We start from the raw sequence: 24,687 nt of genomic DNA on the forward strand, positions 1-24,687 counted from the left end.
TTTACTCTAATTAAACATAAATCTTGAAAAACAAAGAGCCCTTTGACGACTATAATACATTTTTGTACTGTGACATGCCCTCTGGCTTAAGGTGTATCTATAAAGAACTGAGACTGTGACTAGCAGACTTGGCTTCAGGTTAAAGATGAATGGATCTACTAACAATTGGAGAGACTGTCTTCAAAAGCATGGTCATTGGAAGCCTATTAAACATCTCTGTCATTAGGAATTTAGAAGCAGCAAACATAATTTTTGCTTTTCCAGGAGCTGGTATTTTGGCCAGCATTTATGCTCTCCAGAACTTCACTGGTGAGCCCAAATGGTAGTCTTTAGCTTCCCAAGAACTTACAACATGACATTGGACCTGGAGGCTTTTTTGATATGGATTTGCTTGAACTACTTAAACCGTTTTTCTATTGCCAAGAATAGTAATTAATGCAGGAAGATGCTAAGTTTTTCACTTCAAAAGTTTCATCATATTGTATCCTTACTACAGACAGGCCTGCTGTTTTGCTGATCCTGGCATTTTTCTTGATGTTGTGTTTTTAGGGAGAGAAAGTCAATGACTTCTTTTTGATTCAACAATTAGACTTAAATGTATGTATTCATTCAATTAGTATTTAAATCCCTATTACAGGCTGTGCATGGAAATAGCCCTGGACAAGCAGTATTCTATAGGAGAGACCAAATTCATAGAGCTCACAGGATACTGGGGTGAGGGAGGCAGTAATCAATAGGCAGAAACTAATGAAATGGTATAGGGTGGGTGGAACAGTAGTCTTTTTTTTTTAATTTTTAAAAATAATTTTTAGTAGAGATGAGGTCTCACTATGTTGCCCAGGCTGTTCTCAAACTCCTGGCTCAAGTGATCCTCCTACCTCAGCCTCCCAAATTGCTGAAATTATAGGCATGAGCCACCATGCCTGGTCAGTGGCACAGTATTCTAAGCAGATGTAGCTGTGTTTGGACAGCACGGAGGGCAGCAGACAACATGGAGACCCACAAGGACTTTCATGTGGCCACACCTTCCAGTAAAAGGAGGAAGTGAAACCGAAGAGACTGGCAAGGGCAAGATCCCAGAAGGACTTCTCCCCCATGCAGGGGAGTTTGAATGTAATTTTTTTTTTTTTTAGTGATGGGGTCTTGGTCTGTCGACCAGGCTGGTACAATCATAACTCGTCATTTGCCAAAGTCTTGAACTCCTGGGCTCAAGTGATCCTTCCTCCTTAGTCTCCCGAGTAGCTGGGACTACAGGTGTATTCCACCATACCCAACCTGAATGTAATCTTAAAGGCAATAAATGGGAAGTCAATGAAGAATTTTAAGAAAAAATAACGGGATGAGCATCAGATACACATTTATATGAGTTAGTACAAACTTGGTGAAGGTTTCTGGAGGAAATTTAACATTCATTCTTTTCTAGTGGTGGAAATCACCTCCTTCATCTGAGACATGGGATTCACTGCCTGGACAAGATAGGTCTGTATTTCTTTCCCATGCCTAACCTACAGGCATGTTGATAGAGTCCATGTGAAACTTGGATGCTAATTTGGCACTGCAGTTTGGAAGAATGCTAATGCAATTCACTTTGGCATGACTAATGATATGTTCCTACCTTGTTTATACTAAAATTGAAAAAAAAATCATTTGAAGCCTCCCTTCACAGTCATGATATTTCTTTCAAATTGAGATGGTAAAGTCTGTATAGTATTGCAATTTCTAGCAAAATCTTTTAAAGCTGCCTTATTTAACAATTTAGAAAATATTTAATATGCAAAATGACTTTCTTTTTTAGGTAATACCACAACAGAGTTGCATTTACATTCACAGCAGAACTTGACTTAAGGCCTTGAAAAACCTTTTACAGAAATCTCTATTGGCTTTTAATAAAGAGCTGTCAAAAGCTCATGATGGTATTATTTTTCAAGTGGCCATAATGCATTTTTGACTTGATCCATTAAACATAGATAGGAAAACCTCCACAATAGTTTTCATGGATTAGGGTGACATATTATGCGCTCCTGACAGTATGGCAGAAGGAAAAAGTAAGGTAATTAGGAACAAATAAATTGAGACTACCTAGTATTACATGGATTACATGGGAATCCTAGTGAATCTTTTGGGAAAATGCAGCCCTATTGAGGAACAGCGTTCTTTGTGTGGAAGCACTGAGAATGGCCACTCCACAGTGAATGGGCAGAGACAGGTTTGGAAGCAAATGGAATTAACCAAAATGAAGGAAAGAGGAGAAAACCAACATTAGAAACTATGAATTCACTGAAATTAAGAAGCCAAAAAGACCTGCTAAATCTCATCCGACTTCTTCAGCTTGCACTGAGGCCTCTCTTCTCAGAGCGCATCTACCTTGCTGTTTTATTTAATTTGTTTTTCAATTATTTAGGTTTCAAGCTTTCCTGATCTCTTACAGGAAAATTTTCCAATTTAATCAACTTAGCTTGTGGGAAACCCTTGCTAGATTTTGCATTTCAGGATGCATACTTGGTAGATGCTTTAATAAATAATTATGTTTGAATAGGTGAATAGATAGAAATGTCAAGAAATAATAAAGATAAACATTTTGAATATTTTTTCAGTTCAACACAAGTAACTCTAAATCTGCAAACTATGTGACTATGGTAATTTTTTAAAGGGTATAGTGACAGAATTCTATTATTATGTAAGTAATCAAATTATGCTTTAGAAGAGTTTGATATAAATTCATACTTAAAATATGAATTCATATTTAAAATACGAATTAGGAATGTAAAAGATCCAGGAAAATATAGGTATAATATTAAGAGGTAAATAACATTTCTTTTAAAATTATGACATTTTATTCAATTTTATTCTAGTACATTGCTAGCTCTCCCTCATTCAACATACACTGTAAATCAGGAATACTGTACAATTTTGATTTTTTGTTTTTGTTTTTGAGATGAAGTATTGCTTTGTTGCCTGGGCTGGAGTGAAGTGGTGCAATCTCGGCTCACTGCAACCTCCACCTCCCAGGTTCAAATGATCCCTCTGCCTCAGCCTCCCAAGTAGCTGGGACTACAGGCATGCACAACCACACTCAGCTAATTTTTGTATTTTTAGTAGAGACGCGGTTTCATCATGTTAGCCAGACTGGTCTTGAACTCCTTACCTCAGGTGATCCGACTGCCTTGGCCTCCCAAATTGCTGGGATTACAGGCATGAGCCACCATGCCTGGCCAGAATTATGAATCCTTAAGAATTTGAGAAACAGGACAGGATGTAAGTATTGTTGCTTATATAACCCAGGAGGAGTAAAGCTCATTGATAATATTTCTGTTACAGTAAATGCTTGAGTTTCTGTACTAACTTCCAGGGAAATATGGATTTTGCAGAGCTAAAGGAATGCCTTAACTAACAAACATTCAAACAAAGAAGCCATATCGAGTCACTGCATTTAAGCTCTCTAGAATTTCTGATCAACTGAACAGAGCTTTGCTCTGAAACTCAAGGCTGACTCTGCCAACAATGGCTGCTCTGAGGCAGACAATAATGCAGATGAAAATGATTTAGGGGAAGAACAAGGTCAAGATGCTCCCTGGGATTTATAATCCAAGAAGCCTTGATTTCACCTCCAGAATGCAAATGCAATGCCCTGGTTTGAAAAGCACCATTCTCCTAACCATAAATGAACCCACATTTCTGCCCTAAAAAGATCTGCTCACTCTTTTTCAGCTAAGACTCTAATATTTGATGAACCCATGGCATTAATGAAAACAGATTTTTCTTTAGCAGCAAGTTTTATTGCTCATTTTACAGCCTGATTCCATAGCCTGGGAATGATCTTGCTACTATAACTGCAATTACATCTGAATTCTTAAGTGGTGTGTTAGGGCATGTTTTTATATTTGGAATTCATGATACTGTTCTTAATAGGGACTTTGGTAATGACCAAAAAGACCCTTGCTAGTGAGATGTGACAAAAAGTTGTTCATATTACATAAGCAGAAGACTTCTTACACTGGAATAAAAATAATATAGAGAATGCACAATTACGTAGCTCATTTCAGGCATACCAACATACTTACTTGTTTTGAGTTATCACAACTCAGTGTAGCAGCCTTTCTGATAGGCACCAGGAATTTGGAGATTAATAAAACATGGTCAGTTTTTGGAGGAGCTTAAAGTCCAGTCTTCTGAAAGTTAAGTAAAAATTCATCTGGAAGATGTGATAAGGGATTGAAGGAAAGAGCGAAAAATTGGAAGTTTGACAGACGGATTAACAGCTGAGCATGGGTGTTGGGAAAATGAGAGTTCATTGAGGCTGTAGTGACAAAATCTTGTGGGGGATTGTTGGGAGACGAGACTGGATAGGTAAGTAGGAACCAGTTGCTGAAGGGCCTAATAATGCACGTGAAATATTCTGGATTTAATCCAGAAAATCAGGGAGAGCCTCTGAAGGACTATTTACACAGGGAAGCGACAAAATTGAATTTGATCATCAAAAAAAATGATAAAGCATTCAAACTATTTTTCTGCAGCTATGCCAAATATTGAGAAAACAATTTCTCTACTGACCAAATAACATAGAAATGGCCTCAAAGATAGGCACTTCTACCTTTCTGGTTAAAATGCTATACTGCTAAAGCTGGACGGTCATCTACACCACTGGGATCCAACATGCTTCATGCTTCATTGCTACTCAACAGAACTTCTATGGCACAAGGGAAAGACAAAGTCTGTGACATATCTCAAATCTTCTCTTTTCTTTCCCCATAGTGGAGAGTTTTGCCTGAAAATGTTTAATGTAGTGGCTGTACAGTTTCAAAGTGCTTTTGTTTTTCCACAGTTACTTAACCATTTGAAGCCCTGAACATAAGGGTGGATGATTGGGAGACTGTGTCCATGAACATTCTTTCAAATCAAACTTAGTTTGAATGAACCAGTCAGCCTTAGGGGAAGATTACTGTGGGTAATATATTTCTGCTGGTCTCAAACAAACAAACAAAAAGAAAAATAAATACAGTTAAAGTAAGGACATGACATCATTTTCTGAAAAATGTGACATTGTCTTGCGTTTTTAAATGTCTCCTGAGCACACACTCTTTTTGGAAACCAAAAAATATAATTTTTGAGAAACTTGATTATATGTTAAAATTTTTGAAGTTAATTTGTAGGCCGTAAAAATGGTATTATTTAATATGAGGTGAGATTACTACAGAATTTGGTTACAAACCCAAGAATTTGGGTTCTAAACTGACTATCCCTCCCCACCAGGTTCCAAAGGTAATGTGTGTACATATAAGCCACAAGCTCTAATGCAGAACACTCCAGTGAGTTGGGAGGTATCCTGTGGAAAACTCATGTTACCTAAACAAGGTAGGCCGGAAAGACCAAGAGCCAAAGCAGGTTGACGGAGCTGCCCTAACCTTGTACCTCTTGGCCAAGTCCAGATCTCAGACCTCACCATGCACAGGCTGTCATCCAGTGCCAGCCTCAGAGAACTCAAAGAGCAAGATGAAGGGAACATTTCTGTAATGCCTACTGCAGATCTGGCCTCAAGAAACTTCAGTGGGTCTTCTCAGGCTGGGGCATCAGAAACATCCCTGAAGAAATTACATCCACCTCCAAAAATACAGAGAGAAGACAATGATTTTTTCAGGAAGAAACAGGACTCCTCCACTCTGATCATTTCGGGACAAAGATCAGACAAAAGCAGAAGGAAACCAAAGAGAAGGAGGGAGAATCAGCTACTTCTCTAGTGTTCTGTGAGGAAGTCCATGTAGAGAGAGACTATGACCACCTCTCTCCCTCTTCCTTCCCTGTTCAGGACAATAAAACATCTCCATTATTCCTCCAGCCCAGTGGCCAGTGAAATATCCTTCAGCATGTCCCGCAGGCCTCTTTGGTGGTGCAGTGAAATGCCTTAATCCTGACTCAACTTGGTGATAAGCTTGGATTAAGTATGTAGAGGAATGTGAGAAGGAATGTGAGAAGGAATGAAGACTCCCAACTTCCTACTAAAAGAGTCCTCTAAACTGCAATCACATCCTGTTTCCTTGTCTCTAAGACTCATTTTTATAGTATTAACATCAGTGATTTGGGGGCATGTCTCATTTATTTGATGTGTAGATTTTACGTTGCTTTTTCTTTGAAAAGCTCTTATCGATAGTGCAACCCCTAATCAGTGGAATCTTAGGATTATAATAGTATACATATGACAGTAGAAGAATAAAATCTAGTTTCACACTTAAAAAAAACTCTGATTTAGCATTTGAAATCTGTGGCTTATAACTTTAGTCTTTTCATGCAAATATTTTTAGGGAAATGGTTTCGAAGAGCAACACTGCACCAGCTTGTCTGCTGTCAACTGCACATCACCATACATCCTCGGGGAGAAGGCCGGGCCCTACGCTTCCTGGGGTCCCTTGCCAGCTACATTCCAATATGAATTATGCCAAAGAGAGTCGTTTCCAGGAGATCTGGAAAGCAGAAGAAAAGCAGCCTTCAATCTCCAGCAGCAGCCAGGTGAACAGTGACAGATGCCTATGGAAGATTTTGCCAGGGGCTTTCTAGGTGAGTGCCTGCGAGTTACTTACTTAGGTGTTGCAGGCAATTAAGATAATCAGCTATAGCTTCTGTGTATTTCCTGCGTTTTCAGAGTTCTTGAAACTTGAAGCATTTTTTTCCCCGACCTTTGTTTCTATAGCCCATCCAACAGTTATATCAGCCTCTAATTGTCTGTATTACAGTCTTTTATGCTCGAGGTTCTTTGAGAGACGAAAAAAAAGTGGCAATCACATTCTTCTTTTTCCTGTGATACTCCTCTGCCAATAGCAGACAAAAGTTTTAAACAGCTTAGGGACACTTGTTGGAGGCTGTTTCCATGTTAAAGAAGAGATTACAGAAAGACTGAAGGCTATTCTTTGATCTTATTTAGTTCCCTTGTCTCATCCAATTATTTTTATTTTCATTTATACTTCATGTTCCTGTCTTCAGATATCCTTCTCTGTTCCACATGACTGTATAACATCAGTAGAAGTTACCATGTCTCTAGTTCTGAATGCTTTTAAGTTCATGTTTATATACATTATCTCACTTGATTTTCACGGCAATTTTATAACTCAAGTGGATTGACATTATTTTTATTTTACAGGTAGGGAATTTGAGACCCAGATATTTAAGTGGTTTATTCAAGGTCACATGGAAAATCAAGGAAAGCGCTAGAACTAGAATCCAAAATTTTTGACCACTATTCCAGAGTGTCTGATAGTATTACATTAGCTCTCCAAGTAAGATAGCAACTGCCTGCTTATAATACTTTTGATCTGGGCAAATTACCTACAGTATAAGCCCCATGAACTCCAGGTAATTATCTCTTTCCCTGTGGGATAGAATCCAAGTCTTTGTCAATGTTTTGAACCCCACCCATCAAATTAATCTAACAAGCTCAGTGGTAACCACGAGCTCACTGGGGGCAGCGCTATTATTGTTATTTGGCACATAATATACTTGGTATGCTGAAAAAGTATAATAATGAGAGTGACAGGATATCATTATCTCTGACAACCTTTCAGTGGCCAATATCAATTAGTTAGTGGTCTCATACCTACTGAATGAGTTTTTATATCAGAGGAACTCCCAATATTCTAACTGAGCTATTTAGCACTATCATTTGAAGGGTGCCCGATTGAGAATCACATGGACCTAAATGTTTGTTTACTCAAAGATAAGTGTTTCAGGATAAGGATTAAGGAATTGGGCATGTTGGGCGTAACAGACCACAGGCTATACTTATATGAATAAATGGAGAGCTTGGACAGTTCTTAGGATCAATCTTTCTTTAAGAAATCAAATAAATAAAGATAGCCTCATCTCTACCAGGAGAAATACACCTTTTTTTTTTTTTTTTTTTTTTGCCTTAGAAAGCACTGGCTTCTGTTAATTAAACATTTCCACCCAAAGATAGCAAATTTTAAATAGAAAAAAAACAGGAAATATATGTAATCTACAATAAGTCTGCAAGGCAAATGGAATAGTTGTAGCAAGCTCTTAAAGCAAAGGTAAAGATGTTGAAAATATATTAAAACTTACTGTTGACTAAACTAGGAATCTGTGGATATATGTGCATATATTTATATGCATATCCTATCCAAATGTATAAAGGTCTTAATGGTTTACTTCTTAGATTAAAAAATTCTTAGGCTGGGCATGGTAATACGCCTGTAATCCCAGCATTCTGGGAGGCCAGGGTGGGAGGATTTCTTTGAGGCCAGGACTTTGACAGCAGCCTGGGCAACATAGCAAGACCCCATCATTACAAAAAAATTTAAAAACTAGCCAGGTGAAGTAGCACTCATCTATAGCCCCAGCTGCTAGGAAGGCTGAGGCAGGAGGATCACTTGAGCCCAGGAGATCAAGGCTGTAGTGAGCTGTGATCACACCAATGCACTCCAGCCTGGGCAACAGAGAAAGACCATATCTCCCCTGCCAAAAAAAAAATTTCTTCTAAATTTTGACATTTAAAAAAAATTTTAATTTTAGTTACATTTCTTTCTTTCTTTTTTTTTTTTTTTTTGATACCAAGTCTCACTCTGTCACCCAGGCTGAAGTGCAGTGGCATGATCTCGGCTCACTGCAACCTCTGCTTCTCAGGTTCAAGTGATTCTCCTGCCTCAGCCTCCTGAGTAGCTGGGACTACAGGCACGCGCCACCGCACCTGGCTAATTTTTTTTGTATTTTTAGTAGAGACGGGGTTTCACCATGTTGGTCAGGGTGGTCTCAAACTCCTGACCTCAAATGATCCACGCACTTCGGCCTCCCAAAGTGTTGGGATTACAGGCATGAGCCACTGCGCCTGGCCAACATTTTATTTTTAAAGGAAATACTTTTTCACTAGACTTGTGTACAATTGCAACAACAAAGTCATCTTAGAAGGAGAACCCATGAACTGTGAAATTTAGGCCCACTGAGCACTTATGAAGCATCGACTACTTGTTACCCACTGCTCCGGGTACTATCACTGCTGAGAGGGGAGGTGCTCTGGGGTTAAAAGGACTGAATTACCCAAGCTTTGTCACACAGGGGTTGTGAAACAATCATGTATCTTTTCTTTTAAATCCTTAGTTTTCACACCTATACCTCATATTTTTTTTTGAAGATGGCATCCAACAAAATAGGTACTTAAACTATTTAGCAGCATGCTTGGCTGCATTCGGTTCATAAATACTCATTCCTCTGTTTTTCAAAAGTCTCATAATTCAAGTACTTTGCCCAAAGTCCTCAAACTCAGCAGCTGTGCTGCTTCCCTTTCCTCCAACTTTCGCAAATTTCATCTGTTCTATGGCATCTACTATCGAACATCAGAAAGAAGAGGCAGAACTTAACAGTTAGGAAACAGACTTCCTCTACTGTAATATGAAAGTCCTCTTCTAGATTTTTAGCACTCCTTACAAGCTTTGGCCTTTGTAAAAGGATGTTATGTAAAACAAACAAACAAACAAACAAAAACAAAAAAAACTGTGCTTTGCCTTTGGAACCTACTTCCCTGGACATACGCTCTGAGTACAGAAAGAAGAGGCTTTAGCAACCAGAAAATTAGGAATAGCATGTATGAAATTAGACATGGAACCTTGCAACTTTGAGACAGGCACAGAAAGGAACATGGGCTGACAAGAGATGGATGATCTAAGGTCGCCTTTCCCTTGGGAGTGCTCCCTGATAATGGCTGTGGCTACTATGTGATATCAGCAACCCCAGGGCAGTGACCCCTTTCCATTCTATACCCCAAGCATGGGAAACAGTTTCAAAAGGGTAGGCTATTTTTGCTAGCAAAGTTTGTATGGTTCTGTGCTACATGGGCATATCAACATAAATTCACTAGAGGTCCTCTCCTTTGATGATAATAATGATTATAATAATAATACTATGCTCACAGTATTTTTAAAGTACAAATGGCTTATTATAACATATAGCAACTAGTTTACAGTCCCACCAACAGTGTAAAAGTGTTCCTATTTCTCCACATCCTCTCCAGCACCTGTTGTTTCCTGACTTTTTAATGATTGCCATTCTAACTGGTGTGAGATGGTATCTCATTGTGGTTTTGATTTGCATTTCTCTGATGGCCAGTGATGATGAGCATTTTTTCATGTGTCTTTTGGCTGCATAAATGTCTTCTTTTAGGAAGTCAAGGTGGTGATTCCTCAGGGATCTAGAACTAGAAATACCATTTGACCCAGCCATCCCATTTCTGGGTATATACCCAAAGGACTATAAATCACGCTGCTATAAAGACACATGCACACGTATGTTTATTGTGGCATTATTCACAATAGCAAAGACTTGGAACCAACCCAAATATCCAACAATGATAGACTGGATTAAGAAAATGTGGCACATATACACCATGGAATACTATGTAGCCATAAAAAATGATGAGTTCATGTCCTTTGTAGGGACATGGATGAAATTGGAAATCATTCTCAGTAAACTATCGCAAGGACAAAAAACCAAACACTGCATGTTCTCACTCATAGATGGGAATTGAACAATGAGAACACATGGACACAGGAAGGGGAACATCACACTCTGGGGACTGTTGTGGGGTCGGAGGAGGGGGAGGGATAGCATTAGGAGATATACCTAATGCTAAACGACGAGTTAATGGGTGCAGCACACCAGCATGGCACATGTATACATATGTAACTAACCTGCACATTGTGCACATGTACCCTAAAACTTAAAGTATAATAATAATAAAAAAAAGAAAAAAAATATGTCACCTGTAAAAAAAAAATGTATAGTAAATATTTGCTTGTGTATATTCTTCTCTCAATTTTGCACATCCCTAATGCCTACTATCCTGAGTCTTAATGGATGCTTATTACAATTTAATACAATAATACAACAATAAACATGATAATAATAATAATTAACACAGCCTTTGAAGTGTCCTCTGTGGGCCCCAACATTCTGATGTCCAAGTACTGGATGATGGCAGAAGGGCAAGATGTTTTTGAATGAAAGAAATGGAAAGTATCACTTTAACAAAGAGAAAAAAAAAAGGAAAAAGCACCAAAAAAGAAAGAAAGGCATGCTCATTTGGCAGTCAAGGAACACAGTCCTTTTAAAAAGCAATCCTCTGCCAAGTTTTTGGCTTCTGTTTGTTGTTGTTTTAAAGGTAAACACAATTAAGAAAGAAAATAGCAAGTTGTTAAAAGCACAGCTGAATATTTATGTTTTCCTTCTGAGACTTCTGGGCCTATTTCTGGGGATCTTTCTTCGCTACTGAACATCAAAACTCAAACCACCACAAAAATAACTCTTCCGCACCATTTTGCCTTGGAAAAGTGGTAAGTTTCATTTTCCCGTCCCTTTTAGATTGCGTTATAATTTCTCAAAGTGAACATCAACGTTATAATTTTCTCTTCCATTTCACAAAACACACACTTTTGTGTTCTGAAAATTCCATGTTATCAAGCCTTAGCAGGCAGTAGGGTAGAGCTATCTGATCTCATCTTAATTGCTTTAGCCTAGATAAGTAACTATACTGATGATAAGACCCCCAAATGAGTTAATAATCATTAGGGCTTATTCTTTTCTGAACTCTTTGAATTTGTTTTGCCAGAGAGGCAACTTCAGCTCTTGCCTGCGTGTTTGTGGGAACTCCCCAACAATCTCTTAGTCCATTGCAAGTCTGCTAATTCATTCAACTCTCGTTCTTTTTTTTTTTTTTTAACACCTGTGTGGAGACATAGCTACAGTTAATTCCAATAAAGTAAGTGTCTGAATCAAAACTTACTGTACGTGAACACTCATTTCAAACTGTGGACATTATGATGGGATGAAGAAAACAACAGAGAGGAGAGTTAGTGAACAGCATCTCAGCTCTGTTGTGAATGCCACTCAAGCTTGCTTGTTATGAAGTCCCTTCTGGCTGCCTCCAGGTGATAGTCCCTCCCATCCATGGAAAAAGGTCTCTCTGAAAGATATTGCAGCTTGCATATTTAATTGCTCATCACAGACTACCTTTTTTCATCTTCTTATGATTGGAAAACCTTCTGGGACACCTGGGAGATTGTTTGGAGAAGTACTTCCCATCCCTCTGAATATTGGTATTTTGAAGCATGATGATAATTCCTCAGAATACAAAATGCTTAAAGAGCGATGTTGTAGCAGGAATACTGGGAGGCAGGAAAGTCTGAGGCCTCCTCAGGTGGTTGCTTTCCCATGGCGAAGCAAATATCCACATAAAACAAGCTGAGGCTGTATTTACAAGCATAGCATGGGTGGGCACGTGGGTACTTTCTCGTTCTCACATGCAACATACCAGAGACATGCAAATGTGCCGTGTGTACACTGTCCAGTGATGGCTTCAACACTCTCCACATCAGTCTCCTCATCTCCGTGTTTCCCTGGCCACCGCTCTGCCTTTCACTCTGTGCTGTGCTCATGTCTCTCCCCAGATGGAAATGTTCAATGATTTTGTGCTGTGTAGGATCAACTTCAAAGCCCATCACTGAAAGTGTTCCTTAATATGGGGTTAACAGCCTGGAGTAGACAGAATAATGCCTGTACAGATGTCCACACCTATCTTAATCCCTGAAACCTGGGAATATGTTATCTTACATGGCAAGAGGGATTTTGCAGCTGTGATGAAGTTAATTACAACATAAGGAGAAGATCCTGGTGGGCCCAGTGTAATCACAAAGGTCCTTACAGAGGAAGGCAGGCGAGTAGGAGTCAGAGAGGAGATGTGATGACGTAGACAGAGGTTGGAGCAATGTGCTTTGAAGATGGAGGAAGGGGACACAAGCCAAAGAATGCAGGTGGTCTCTAGAAGCTGGAAAGGCAGGAAACAGATTCTCCCCTACAGTCTCCAGAAGACATACAGCTCTGCAACACCTTGATTTTAACCTGTACAACCCATTTTGGACTTCTGACCTATGGAACTGCTGTATAATAAACTTGTGCCATCTTAAGCTGTTAAGTTTGCAGTCATTTGTTACAGCAGCAATAGGAAACAATAGGAAACTCATCTTCTACCTGTCTCTCCTCATCTCCCTGAAGCCTCAGGTAAAGCCATGCTTGTTCACCCAGGGTGTTTTACAGAGCCTGACTCTGCAGCTTTTATTCATCCTGAAGTCACTTCTGTTTTCTCTGAACATCTCTAGGAATTATTCTGAGACTACCTTAGATGTCCTCTTACTCATAGGCAGTATTATAACATTTCTACTATTACTTTAAGCTAAATTTAATTTTTTGTGACTATTTTAGTTTTCTCCTTTAACTAAATTTTAACTTCTCTGGGGATGGGGCTTATGTCATATTATTTTCTTGTTTTACCCAGGATCCCTAGCATGATATCATGCACAAAGAAAGCATTAAATTGGTATTTATAAGTTTGGTTTTTGTAAACTGAGACATATTATGTAATGCCATAAGGGGATTTATTATAAAATGCTCAAGTAGACTCTCTTTTTAACTGCTTCATAGAATTAAAACTGGCAGATTTTCATAGAGACTCTAATTTTTTGAATTAGCATCATAGAATGACTCTATAGGACTGTGATTACTGATCAATAATAGAAAATTAGGAAATAGAAAACAAATTATAAAGATGATAGGAAGGAAATGGTAGGAGAACTAGAGAAGGCACTAAAATTCTCAAAGACACTTTCCCAGGTAAATCATGACATGCCTTAGTGCAGATGTAACACACAAAATGGACTGATTTAGCCTTTAAACTTTAGAACTTATATTGAGGCATTTATGTGGCCTCCAAGCTCCTGTTCAATGCCAGGTAGTGAGGGTGTTTCCCAGTAAGGTTATAGGGGAGAGTGTCATAGACTCCCATTAGTTTTTCCACCAAGAAGCTCTCCAGTGATGAGTTAAAATCCACAGATGATAATCTTCCCTAAAGGATCATAGTAAAATATTATAGGATCTGCCTGTATCACGGGCCTGTACATCAGCAGTTAAAAGCCAGGCTCATAATCAACTGCCTAAATGGAAATCCTAACTCCATTTCTTAGTGGTTGAGTAAGCTTTCAAGTCTCTCTGGTCTCAGTACTTCAGCTCTGCAATGGGGATATTATAAATACCTCTTTCACTCACCTATGGTAAGGACGGAATGAGATGCAGTAGTTTCCCCCTATCCATGAAAGATATGTTCCAAGACTCCCAGTGGATGCCTGAAATCATGGATAGTACCAAATCCTATGCAACATAAACTATGTTTTCTTTTATTCATACATACCTATGATAAAGTTTAATTTATAAATTACAAACAGTAAGAGACAAACAACAATATAATATACTCTAATAAATGTTATATGAATGTGGTCTCTCTCTCTCTCTCAAAATATCTTACTGTATGGTACCTTGCGTAACTGAAAGAATGGAAAGAGAAACTGCAAAAAGTGATTTTGAATACCAAATCACCGGGGGGACAAGGGGACTGTCATGTATGTAGAGTGCTCAGCGGAATGTCTGGAACATAATATGTCCTTATGAAAGATAAATTGCAGTTACTGTTATCTCTGAAAATCTTTTTGGGTCATTTTTGTAATCTTTTGAAACACAAACCAGTTGAGCCTGTTTCTAGATGAATGGAGAAGAAAGAGCTGCTCCATAGGAAGAAAAGGCACAGAGAAAAGGAGAATTAAGTGGTAGGATGAAGACCAGTGTTTAAACAGTAGACCTCAAGGCAAGGTAAGCTCTAGCAAATGTTTCCAAATCAATCCACCGTTATCATTAGCATTTCTGTATTTGTATGCACTGCTAGTGAAAACAACTGGGAAGGATAAAAGAGTCATCTTTTCTGGCAACTGGCTGGAAGCCAAGCACCTTACAGGCTGCACAACTTCAACAGCATTATCATAACCACAGAATAAGGAAGACATCATTTCTCCCATTTTACAGCTTCAGAAATGTGGTTCAGTAAAAGCAGCTAGACACACCAAACAATACATACCATTTTATTCCATACAAATATAGTTTTTAAAGAGGGGGTGCAACATCAAATTTTAATGTTAGAATTCAAGAGAGTGGCTAATCTGGAGAGGAGAGAGGACTAGAGATTGGAGGGGCCCAAGAGGAGATTTTGAGGGGCTGGCAATTGTCCATGTCTTGGCTTGGGTGGTGGCAACACAGACTTGTTTGGTGATAACACTTCGAGGTATGCATTGATATTTTGTGCGCTTTTTGCAAGTGTGCTGTATTTTGACTAAAATGTTTACAAAAATGAGGCTTGGAAGGAGTAAATAACCTGTTCAAGTTCACGCTGGAAACCTCCAGAAGAGTATGTATTCATACTCATGTTCCTCAGACTGGGCACCAAAATCTACAGTCTTTGCCAAGCTCTGCTATCTTGAAAGTGGGTGAATAAACAAATGCATCTCCTGCATCAACAGTAGCCTAAGCTTTGGTCTAGAAAACTTCTCTCTGGGGTCAGAAAGAAATCTTTTAAAGCAAGACTTTAAAATTAAAACTAATAAAGGCCAATTATAATATTAAAGATTCTACCACCTTTATATTTTTCTCTTACAAAATGTGTTTTCTCTGGTGGTTTCTTCTTTTGGCTAGGGAGGTTTCTAACCTCAGTTTTAAATTTCATAGAGTTTTCTTGGCAAATCAGTGACTACAGATCAATTTAATGAGTGATTTCTCAAAGGAAAGTTCAAATTTCATCTAGAACTGCTATTCTGAAGTAGCATACGCTGCCTGGGTATTTGTCAGCATTATTTTTATTCTTATTATTTATCCCAATTATGATTAAGATATATTTTCTACTTATTGTCTGTCTTTCCTAAATTAGATCATAAACTCCAAAAGGGCAAGGACCAAGCTTTTTTATTTTACAGTATATAACCCATGCCTACAATAAGCTCAAAGCTGAGGTTTTAGGTGAATGAATGGATACTTAAGTTAATGAGTTAATTAACAGAGAGGTAACAGAAGAACCAGAGCTTAAAAACTATGAGACATTTTGGTAAGTGGCAGAAATGTGTTACTGAAGTGAAGGCAACAATCTCAGTATCATTGCTGTTTTTTACTTGTGGTTCCTCATTCTGTTTCATTTCCCTAGATAACTGGTTGGGACAGCAAGCATTCACTGAGAAGTAACTAATTTCTAGGCTCTGTCAAAAGGCCAGGAAGAATCTACAATCCCCGTGGTTGAGGAACTCACAGAGAAATTTCCAGTTGTATTCTGAGCTGATGTGAATTATTATAAATAACAAGTTTCAAGCAGAGCCTTAGGTGTGACTCCTGTCCTTGACTGATTTTCATAAATCACAATCTGTATATGAATAATAGATATTTTCATTAACCACAGGGTTTCAAATAAATCACCTTTTGCTTTCCAAAGATTCTGCTTAGGTGTCTAGTTCTATTTCAGCAATCAGAAGAATTTTCTAAATCTGACCTTTTCTGACTCTTTTCTGTTATATGGGACAATAAAAGTTGAGATCAGTCTGTATTTCTCTGCCTCATTTTAATTTTCTTTGTATAATATAATGTGCACCATATTTAGCTTGTGGTTGTTTTTAATTTAGTACAGTAAGCCAGTATCTGAACAGAATCTCATTGTTATCTACATTCTGTTGTTCCTAATCTTATCATGCCCTAGTTCTCTAACTCACTCACTCTCCCCCATCTGACTTCTAGCTTCTCCCAGAATAGCTACAGTGTCATGCTCTCAAATTATCCTTTTTTTTATTTATTTTTTTTAAATTCACAGTAAAAGCAACTCATGGGCATTTTCCTTTGGCACATAAAATAGTTCCATTGGTGCATCAGTCAGAAGGCCAAAAGATTCCTTGCTTTCAAGAATAGCACTGAACATATTTATGGCATTTTAAACTCAGTAATTATTGTACTTTGATTTTACAACTTCAAAAAAGGTGGTCCCAGTAATAAGTAATGTGCTAAGTTTAAATTAGAACTGTTGCATTTTATCCCCCCCTTTTTGAACAAAAATGATTTTGAAGACCAAATCACAGATTTCAGTGTAGTCAGGAAGTACTAAAATTTTATAACAATCAAGTGACACAGAGAAAAGAGTCATTAGTTTTGTGACTGTATTTTAAAAAGAAGACATCAAAAACCTCTTCTGCATTTATTGAGACAACCATGTGGTTTTTGTCTTTAGTTCTGTTTATGTGAGGAATCACATTTATTGATTTGTGTATGTTGAACCAACCTTGCATCCCAGGGATAAGGCCTACTTGATCGTTGTGGATAAGCTTTTTGATATGCTGCTGGATTCTATTTGCCAGTATTTTGTTGAGGGTTTTTGCATCATTGTTCAATATCCTATGAGGCCAAGGATATTGGCCTGAGGTTTTCTTTTTTCATTGTATCTCTGCCAGGTTTTGGTATCAGGATGATGCTGGACTCATAAAGTGGGTTGCGGACAAGTCTGTCCTCCTCATTTTCTTAGGATAGTACCAGTAGGAATGGCAACAAAAGCAAAAATTGACAAATGGGATCTCTTTAAACTAAAGAGCTTCTATACGGTAAACAAAACTATCAACAGAGTAAACAGACGCTACAGAATGGGAGAAAACTTTTGAAAACTATGCATCTGACAAAGGTCTAATATCCAGCATCTAAAAAAACAAACAAATTTACAAAAAAAAAAAACCACAAAGAAACAACCCCATTAAGAAGTGGGCAAATAGCATGAACAGATAATTTCCAAAAGACGACATACATGTGGCCAACAAGCATATGAAAAAAAGCTCAACATTACTGATTAGAGAAATGCAAATCAAAACCACAATGAGATACCATCTCACACCAGTCAGAATGGCTATTATTAAAAAATCAAGAAATAACAGGTGCTGGCAAGGTTACAGAGAAAAGGGAGCACTGTTACACCATTGGTGGGAGTGTAAATTCATTCAACCATTGTGGAAAGCAGTGTGGCAATTCCTCAAAGACTTAGAAACAGAATTACCATTTGACCAGCATTCCATTACTGGGTATTTATCCAAAGGAATATAAATCATTCCATCATAAAGACACATGCATGCTTATGTTCATTGCAGTGCTATTCACAAAAGCAAAGATGTGGAATCAACTTAAATGCCCATAAATGGTCGACTAGATAAATAAAATGTGGTACATATACACCATGGAATACTATGCAGCCATAAAAAAGAATGAGATCATATTCTTTGTAGAAACATGGATGGAGCTGGAGGCCATTATCCTTAGCAAACTAACAAAGGAATAGAAAACCAAACACCGCGTGTTCTCACTTATAAGTGGGAGCTAAATGATGAGAACAAATGGACATATAGAGGGGAACACCACACATTGGGGTTTATTGGAGGGTGGGAGGAGGGAAAGGATCAGGAAAAATATCTTATGGGTACTCAGCTTAATACCTGGGTGATAAAATAATCTGTACAACAAATCTCCACATCAAAGGTTTACCATATAACAAACCTGCACATGTATCCCTGAACTTCAAATAAGAGTTTAAAAATGATATTTTAAAAGTTTAAATGTAAATCCCTGTCCAAGTTCAGAAGATTTAAATTTAATATACTTAATATATAAATGAAATGTTTGTAATTGTGAACTTAGAATTGGGTAACAAAGCAAAAACAAAACACAACAAAAACAATAACAGAAAAGAAGCAGTTTTCCCTTGTGAAATTCTTCTGGAACTTCTGGAACTCTAATGAGGAAATGCTACCTTTTCTTTTAAAACTGTGGTTTTCTCACAAATTTCATTCTAATGCTATTCAACTCTACCAAATGTGGAACATTTTAATTCTGCATAATTCCAGTTTCTTAGAGACGACTCTAAAGTCCCAGTTCCTTGGGGACAGTCAGTGCTAAGAAAGATCAGAGAACAGAGGAATCCCTGTGGGCAGGAGGGGAGGGAAGGTTGGAAAGATTTTGTGAAAAAGGGAAATCTTGACTGGGACTTGAGTGGGTTGAATTTGGATGGTAAGACATAAACTCTAAATATGTTTTTTTTTAAATTTTTTAAAAATATAAGCAGAAAAAGCCCATGCATACAGTGAGAGATAAAGTTAGATACATTTTCTGATCCAAAGAAATTCTGTGTTTACTTTGTGAACTTATACTACAGATAGTTGCATAAAATAATATGAATCACCATGTCACTTTATGCAAGTACACAAAGAACTTTTCATGTCTATTAGCATTCTCAAAGTGTGTCCCATGGAACACATAAGATGTTAATAGATGATCTCTGAATAAAGGGCTTCTGTGATCAAATTATTTGGGACCCCTCTCCTCTGAGTAAAACAAGACTCAACAATTTCTTTTTAGCCTTCCATAATTCTTAGCATCATTATGATGTGAATATTTATTGAGAAACTCTAAGAGGGTGATTTATATAGGGTTTTGAAAATTTACCTTATCATAAAACCTTTCTCTTGGGATATTTCAAGGGTTTAATGGTCCCCACAATACACTGTGGATAAAGCTAATTCATACTATCTCATGTGACCTCCATAGAAACGAAGCTGGAATTATTATCTCCATTTTATAGATGAGAATTGTGAGACTGATATGTCCTTTAGGGCCCTGCTCAAGTCACATCTCTTTTATGAAATTTCTCCAGGCCATCCAAGTCCTGGGTCCTTGCATTCATTTTAATAATGGTCATATTTACTCTTTATCCTTTTTCCATAAGAAATTGCATTGCTTACCTCTTTCCCTGAGTATCCTGTCTTCTCACTAAGGTGCTCTTTAAGAACTAGTATTGTGTATTGCATACTATGCAACCCTCATTGAGCCATATAATAGGTATACAATGTGCTTATATTGATAAATTAAGGGCTTCTTTACAGAAAGCAAAAACACTTAAAGATTAATGTCACTCAAGATATGTCCCTACAATGGGCAGGGCTCTGTGTTGGTTTTTCATCCCATTTTGGCAATGAATAGGTACTGAAGACTCTCCCGGAACAGACTGCATCAAATGGTGATTGTTATACACTCAAGTGGATTCCTTCCTTCCTTTATCATGCAATCAGTGCAGATTCTCAGTTCATATCTGTCCCTGGAGTCTTACTCCACCAGCTTGTATGAATCTGAGAGCCCCTCTTATGCTGGGATTCAGTTCTATTCCAAGGGTTCATATTGCACATTGTATTGCTCCAGATCACTCTGACTTTTAAAAGTGATCCAGGTCACCAGTGTAGCAAATATTAAATACTGTCTGTGAAATTGTTGTACTGGCTTCAGAGAAAAGGAGAAGAAAATGAACATTGTGGGATGGTTTTTTTTGTGTTTATGTGTCGGGGCTGTGATAAGTTCTTCGCATATATTTTCTCATTTGATGCTTACAACAATTATATAAGGTAGATAGTATTCTATTTTATAGATAAACGGTGTTGGGAAAACTGGCTAGCCATATGCAGAAAGCTGAAACTGGACCCCTCCCTTACACCTTATACAAAAATCAACTCAAGATGGATTAAAGACTTAAACATAAGACCTAAAACCATAAAAATCCTAGAAGAAAATCTAGGCAATACCATTCAGGACATAGGCATGAGCAAAGACTTCATGTCTAAAACACTAAGAGCAATGGCAACAAAAGCCAAAATTGACAAATAGGATCTAAATAAACTAAAGAGCTTCTGCACAGCAAAAGAAACTATCATCGGACTGATGAGGCAATCTACAGAATGGGGGAAAATTTTTGCAATCTATCCATCTGACAAAGGACTAATATCCAGAATCTACCAACTATCATTCTCAGCAAACAATTACAAGAACAGAAAACCAAACACCGCATGTTCTCACTCATAAATGGGAGTTGAGCAATAAGAATACATGGACACAGGGAGGGGAACATCACACACCAGGGCCTCTCAGGGGGTGGGGGGCTAGGGGAGGGATAGCATTAGGAGAAATACCTAATGCAGGTGACAGGTTGATGGGTACAGCAAACCACCATGTCACGTGTACACCTACATAATGAAACTGCACATTTGACACAGGTACCCCAGCCCTTAAAGTTAAAAATAATAAGACATTATGTAAAAACTAAGGAAATCTGAATAAAATATGAATGTTGTTAAATAATAATGTGTTGGTCATGAATAGCCAATACTATTAATATTAATTATTAATAAACAATGTTAATGAATAAGAAATGTAATCTCAAAGAGTTTAACTTCTTAGGCTTTATAGTGAAATAGTTGAATTTCATGAATTCTGCAGATAGAATATTGTGTTGAAATCTCCTGCCTCTTATAAATTGTGTGATTTAACCACTTTCTGTCTCAGTTTCCTCATCTGTAAATAGCATAATAATCCTACACACCTGCAGGATTGTTGTGAAGACTGAATGATTTTATATATATATATATATATATATACACACACACACTAAGAAATTATATAATTATGTGTATGTTATATATATATTTAAGAATAGTGCTTGATACATACTGAATGGTAACTCTTATTACCACTACTATCATTACTATTCCCAGGTCATACAGTCAGTATGTGGTAAAGCTTAGATTTGAAACCAGGTCTATAGGTCTCGACACTATACAGCAAAATCAGTATCCATGTGGACAGTGACAAAAGCAGGGTATCAATTAAAGAGGAATCATAAGCAGCAGAAAGAACAAGAACTTTATCATCAGACAGAGTTGTGTCTGAATCCCAATGCAACAAATTATTTACTGTATAACTTGTATAAATTAGCTAACCTCTCCAAACCTCAATTTTTTTGTTTATATGGGGATGTTAGAACCTCTACTTCAAGGTTATGAATTTTAGAGTTAATGTATGTAAAATATTCCCACCAGAGTGACTCTAACAAAATGAAAACCTTTATAATGAAAATAAATGATGCCCCTTAGGGTCATTCTGACAAGGAGGTTGGGTAAATCAAGAGGATTTTCCATTAGACCGCACCTGCATCAGAGTCCCTTTAAAGTCATTCAAAAACAAAAAGCAAATTAAGACTAATTCCTCAATTAAATCCGTACAAAGGTTGTCAGTCACTCCTTCTGGAACCCTGTGCTCATTTATTATCATTCAAGATATTCCAAGGACAGACTTGGTACAGCGATGGGCCTTCCGTGGGGAGTAGCTATTTTCCTAATGTTGTTTTTATCTACTGTCTTCTTTCCTGCTACTCTCCTCTCTGTGGTGGTTTCTTTTTCTTTCTGGAGCTTCACATCAATGTCCTGAATAACATTTGCCCATTATCTTGTGTTTCAACTATATTTACTGCAATAAACTGTAAAAGACTGAAGTTGAAATGAAAGCTGGTGATGAGGCCAAAGTGAATGCTTCTAAGCAGGGAAGCTTCTCTGTGCGTTGTGTTGACCACTGACCTAATAACCAGCTGGAAAGAAGACTGGCACTTGGGAAACATCATTTTCATCCTCATTAACCTTGCTGAGTGGTCTCCCCAAAAGAGAATGTTTGAAGAATGGCTTATCACCTATACATTTTTTCATTTGAAAGATACAGGTCCATGATATGACATTCAGAATGAACAAGTAAAAAACCCAAACTGAAAGAAAATAGAAAATTTTTTGCCTAACTCGTCTGGCAACCAATCCAAGCCTAAACTGGTGTAAAGCTATTTAGATTTCTTATCCCACTCGCTGTTATACACAATTAATGCTGTGTATGATTATGGGATGCTGCCTTAGACTCTACTAGGGTGCTATGTAATGTATGTTACATCTGTTGTATCACTTTTCTAAAATCTGAAAAACACTGAATTATAAAATGCCGACTGTAAAGGATTATGGATCTGTATAATAAAAAATCCAAAGTTTTGTATACTTAACCACTGGTTTCTTTTCCCCTTCTACTGAGTAATCTTCACCCTGCCCTCACACTGAGCTAACCTATAAGACACTTTCTGCTCCCTCAGCCACTCGCAGCATATTGAAATAGCTGACACCCATCAACATAAACGTTTTTTTCTTGCCCTTTTTAATGCCTTTCATTTATCCCCTTGGTGATCCTTATTTTTTCACTGCTCAGGTAGCTAGGCTCTCTATTCACCGCTAGGAACACTCTCTACCCACTACCCCATCAAAACTTGTTGAGAACAATGGCATGAAAAATGGCACCCGAATCCCTATTAGGGATGAATTGTCTTTCAGGGGGGAAATGAATTCTTGTGAAGAAGAAAGTGAGAAGCCCTAAAAATATGAGTATTAGTAAAAACTCAAGAAAGAAAATAAGAAAGTTAAGCTGTGCTCTATGAAAAAATGAGATAAATTTGTATTTTGGTTCTTAGGAACCAAAGAACCCCATTCTAGAGGGAAGAATGGGGAACATATAGGACTGAGAAGAGGTAAGGAACCATTTGGGAAGTAGATTGTACTGGGGACACTTCCAGTGAAATATTACAAAGACCTAAAGCAAATATACAAATGGACAATAAGCACAGGAAACAATGCTCAATATCATTAGTCATTAGGGAAGTGCAAATCAAAACCACAATGAGATACAACTTCACACCAACCAGGATGACTGTAATGAAAAAGATAACACTAACAATAGATGGTGAGGATATGGAGACACTGCAACCTTCAAACACTGTTAGTGGGAATACATAATGGTTTAGCTGCTTTGGAGAACAGTCTAGCAGTTCCTCAAAATGTTAACCAGAGTTATATGACCTGGCAATTCTTTTCCGAGGCATATATCTAAAAGAACTGAAAACATATTTTCATGTCTAAACTTGTACATAGATATTCATAGCCGCATCATTCATAATAAAAAATGCAAACTATCCAAATGTCTGTCACTTGATATGGTATACAATACAACGAAATATTATTCAGCCATAAAAAGGAATACAATTGTGATTCATCCTGCAACATGGATGAGCCTTGAAAACATTATGCTAAGTGAAACATTATGCTAAGTGAAAGAGCGTAATGTTTTCAAGATTCATCTATGTTGTCAGATAAATCACAATTTTATACACAAAAGGCCACATAGAGTAAGACTCCACTTACATTAAATGTTCACAATAGGCAAATCTAGATATAGAAAGTAGATTAGTGTTTGCCAGGGACTGGGATGAGCGGAAATGGGGAATGACTGCTAATGGGTAAAGAGTTTCTTTTTGAAAGAATGAAAGTGTTCTGGAATTCGAGAGTGATGAGGGATGCACAACTTGTAGTCTACTAAAATCCACTAAATTATACACCCTAGAAACTTTATGGTATGTAAATTATAACTCAAAAAAGTTCTTCTTTTACTTTAAAAAAAGGAGTAACAGTGCTTCAGGACTTTTTTAAGATCTTGAATAAGTCTTCGGACTTGAATCAGTGTAGATGTTACTTTTCTATGTCTCAGTGGACAAAGAGAATCCAGGCTGGTAATACTTGTAAGGCTTTGTTCAGTAAGAATTATTCAGGTTAGTGCCCACTTTGATCCACCAATATTTATTATTTTCTGGGGATGTTGGTATATCTAAAGGATCAGAAGCATGGATTGACATTACCCACAATTTCTGCCTTCCCATGTTCTGACTTTGGAATCTAACCCCTACATAAGACACACCTTATTATTCATATATGATATCTGTATAATGCCTTTGACTTTTAAGGCATTGTGACACTCATACTTTCAACAATTATTAATATTTCCAATATAAAGATGAAACAGGTGAGACAAAATAAGATTTTAAGTGACACAGATAGGAGGCAGGCCCTGGAATTT

At 37.5% G+C, this 24,687-nt stretch overlaps 1 protein-coding gene across 14 annotated transcripts in view, besides 1 other annotated feature; it reads right to left on the bottom strand.

Moving 5' to 3' along the window:
* TRPM3 (transient receptor potential cation channel subfamily M member 3) overlaps positions 1-24,687 on the bottom strand; it is a 917,912-nt gene that overhangs the window by 419,368 nt on the left and 473,857 nt on the right. The window lies entirely within an intron of this gene.
* Positions 5,515-6,714: an enhancer, noted in NCBI's record as "CDK7 strongly-dependent group 2 enhancer chr9:73568858-73570057 (GRCh37/hg19 assembly coordinates)". NCBI's record gives its function as "activates an origin of replication core promoter dependent on BRD2, BRD4, P300/CBP, MED14 and CDK7 cofactors, with strong dependence on CDK7, by STARR-seq in HCT116 cells {active_cell/tissue: HCT116}" and the evidence as "EXISTENCE:reporter gene assay evidence [ECO:0000049][PMID:35650434]".

Source organism: Homo sapiens, chromosome 9, assembly GCF_000001405.40.
Source record: "Homo sapiens chromosome 9, GRCh38.p14 Primary Assembly".
Classification (NCBI taxonomy): Eukaryota; Metazoa; Chordata; class Mammalia; order Primates; family Hominidae; genus Homo; species Homo sapiens.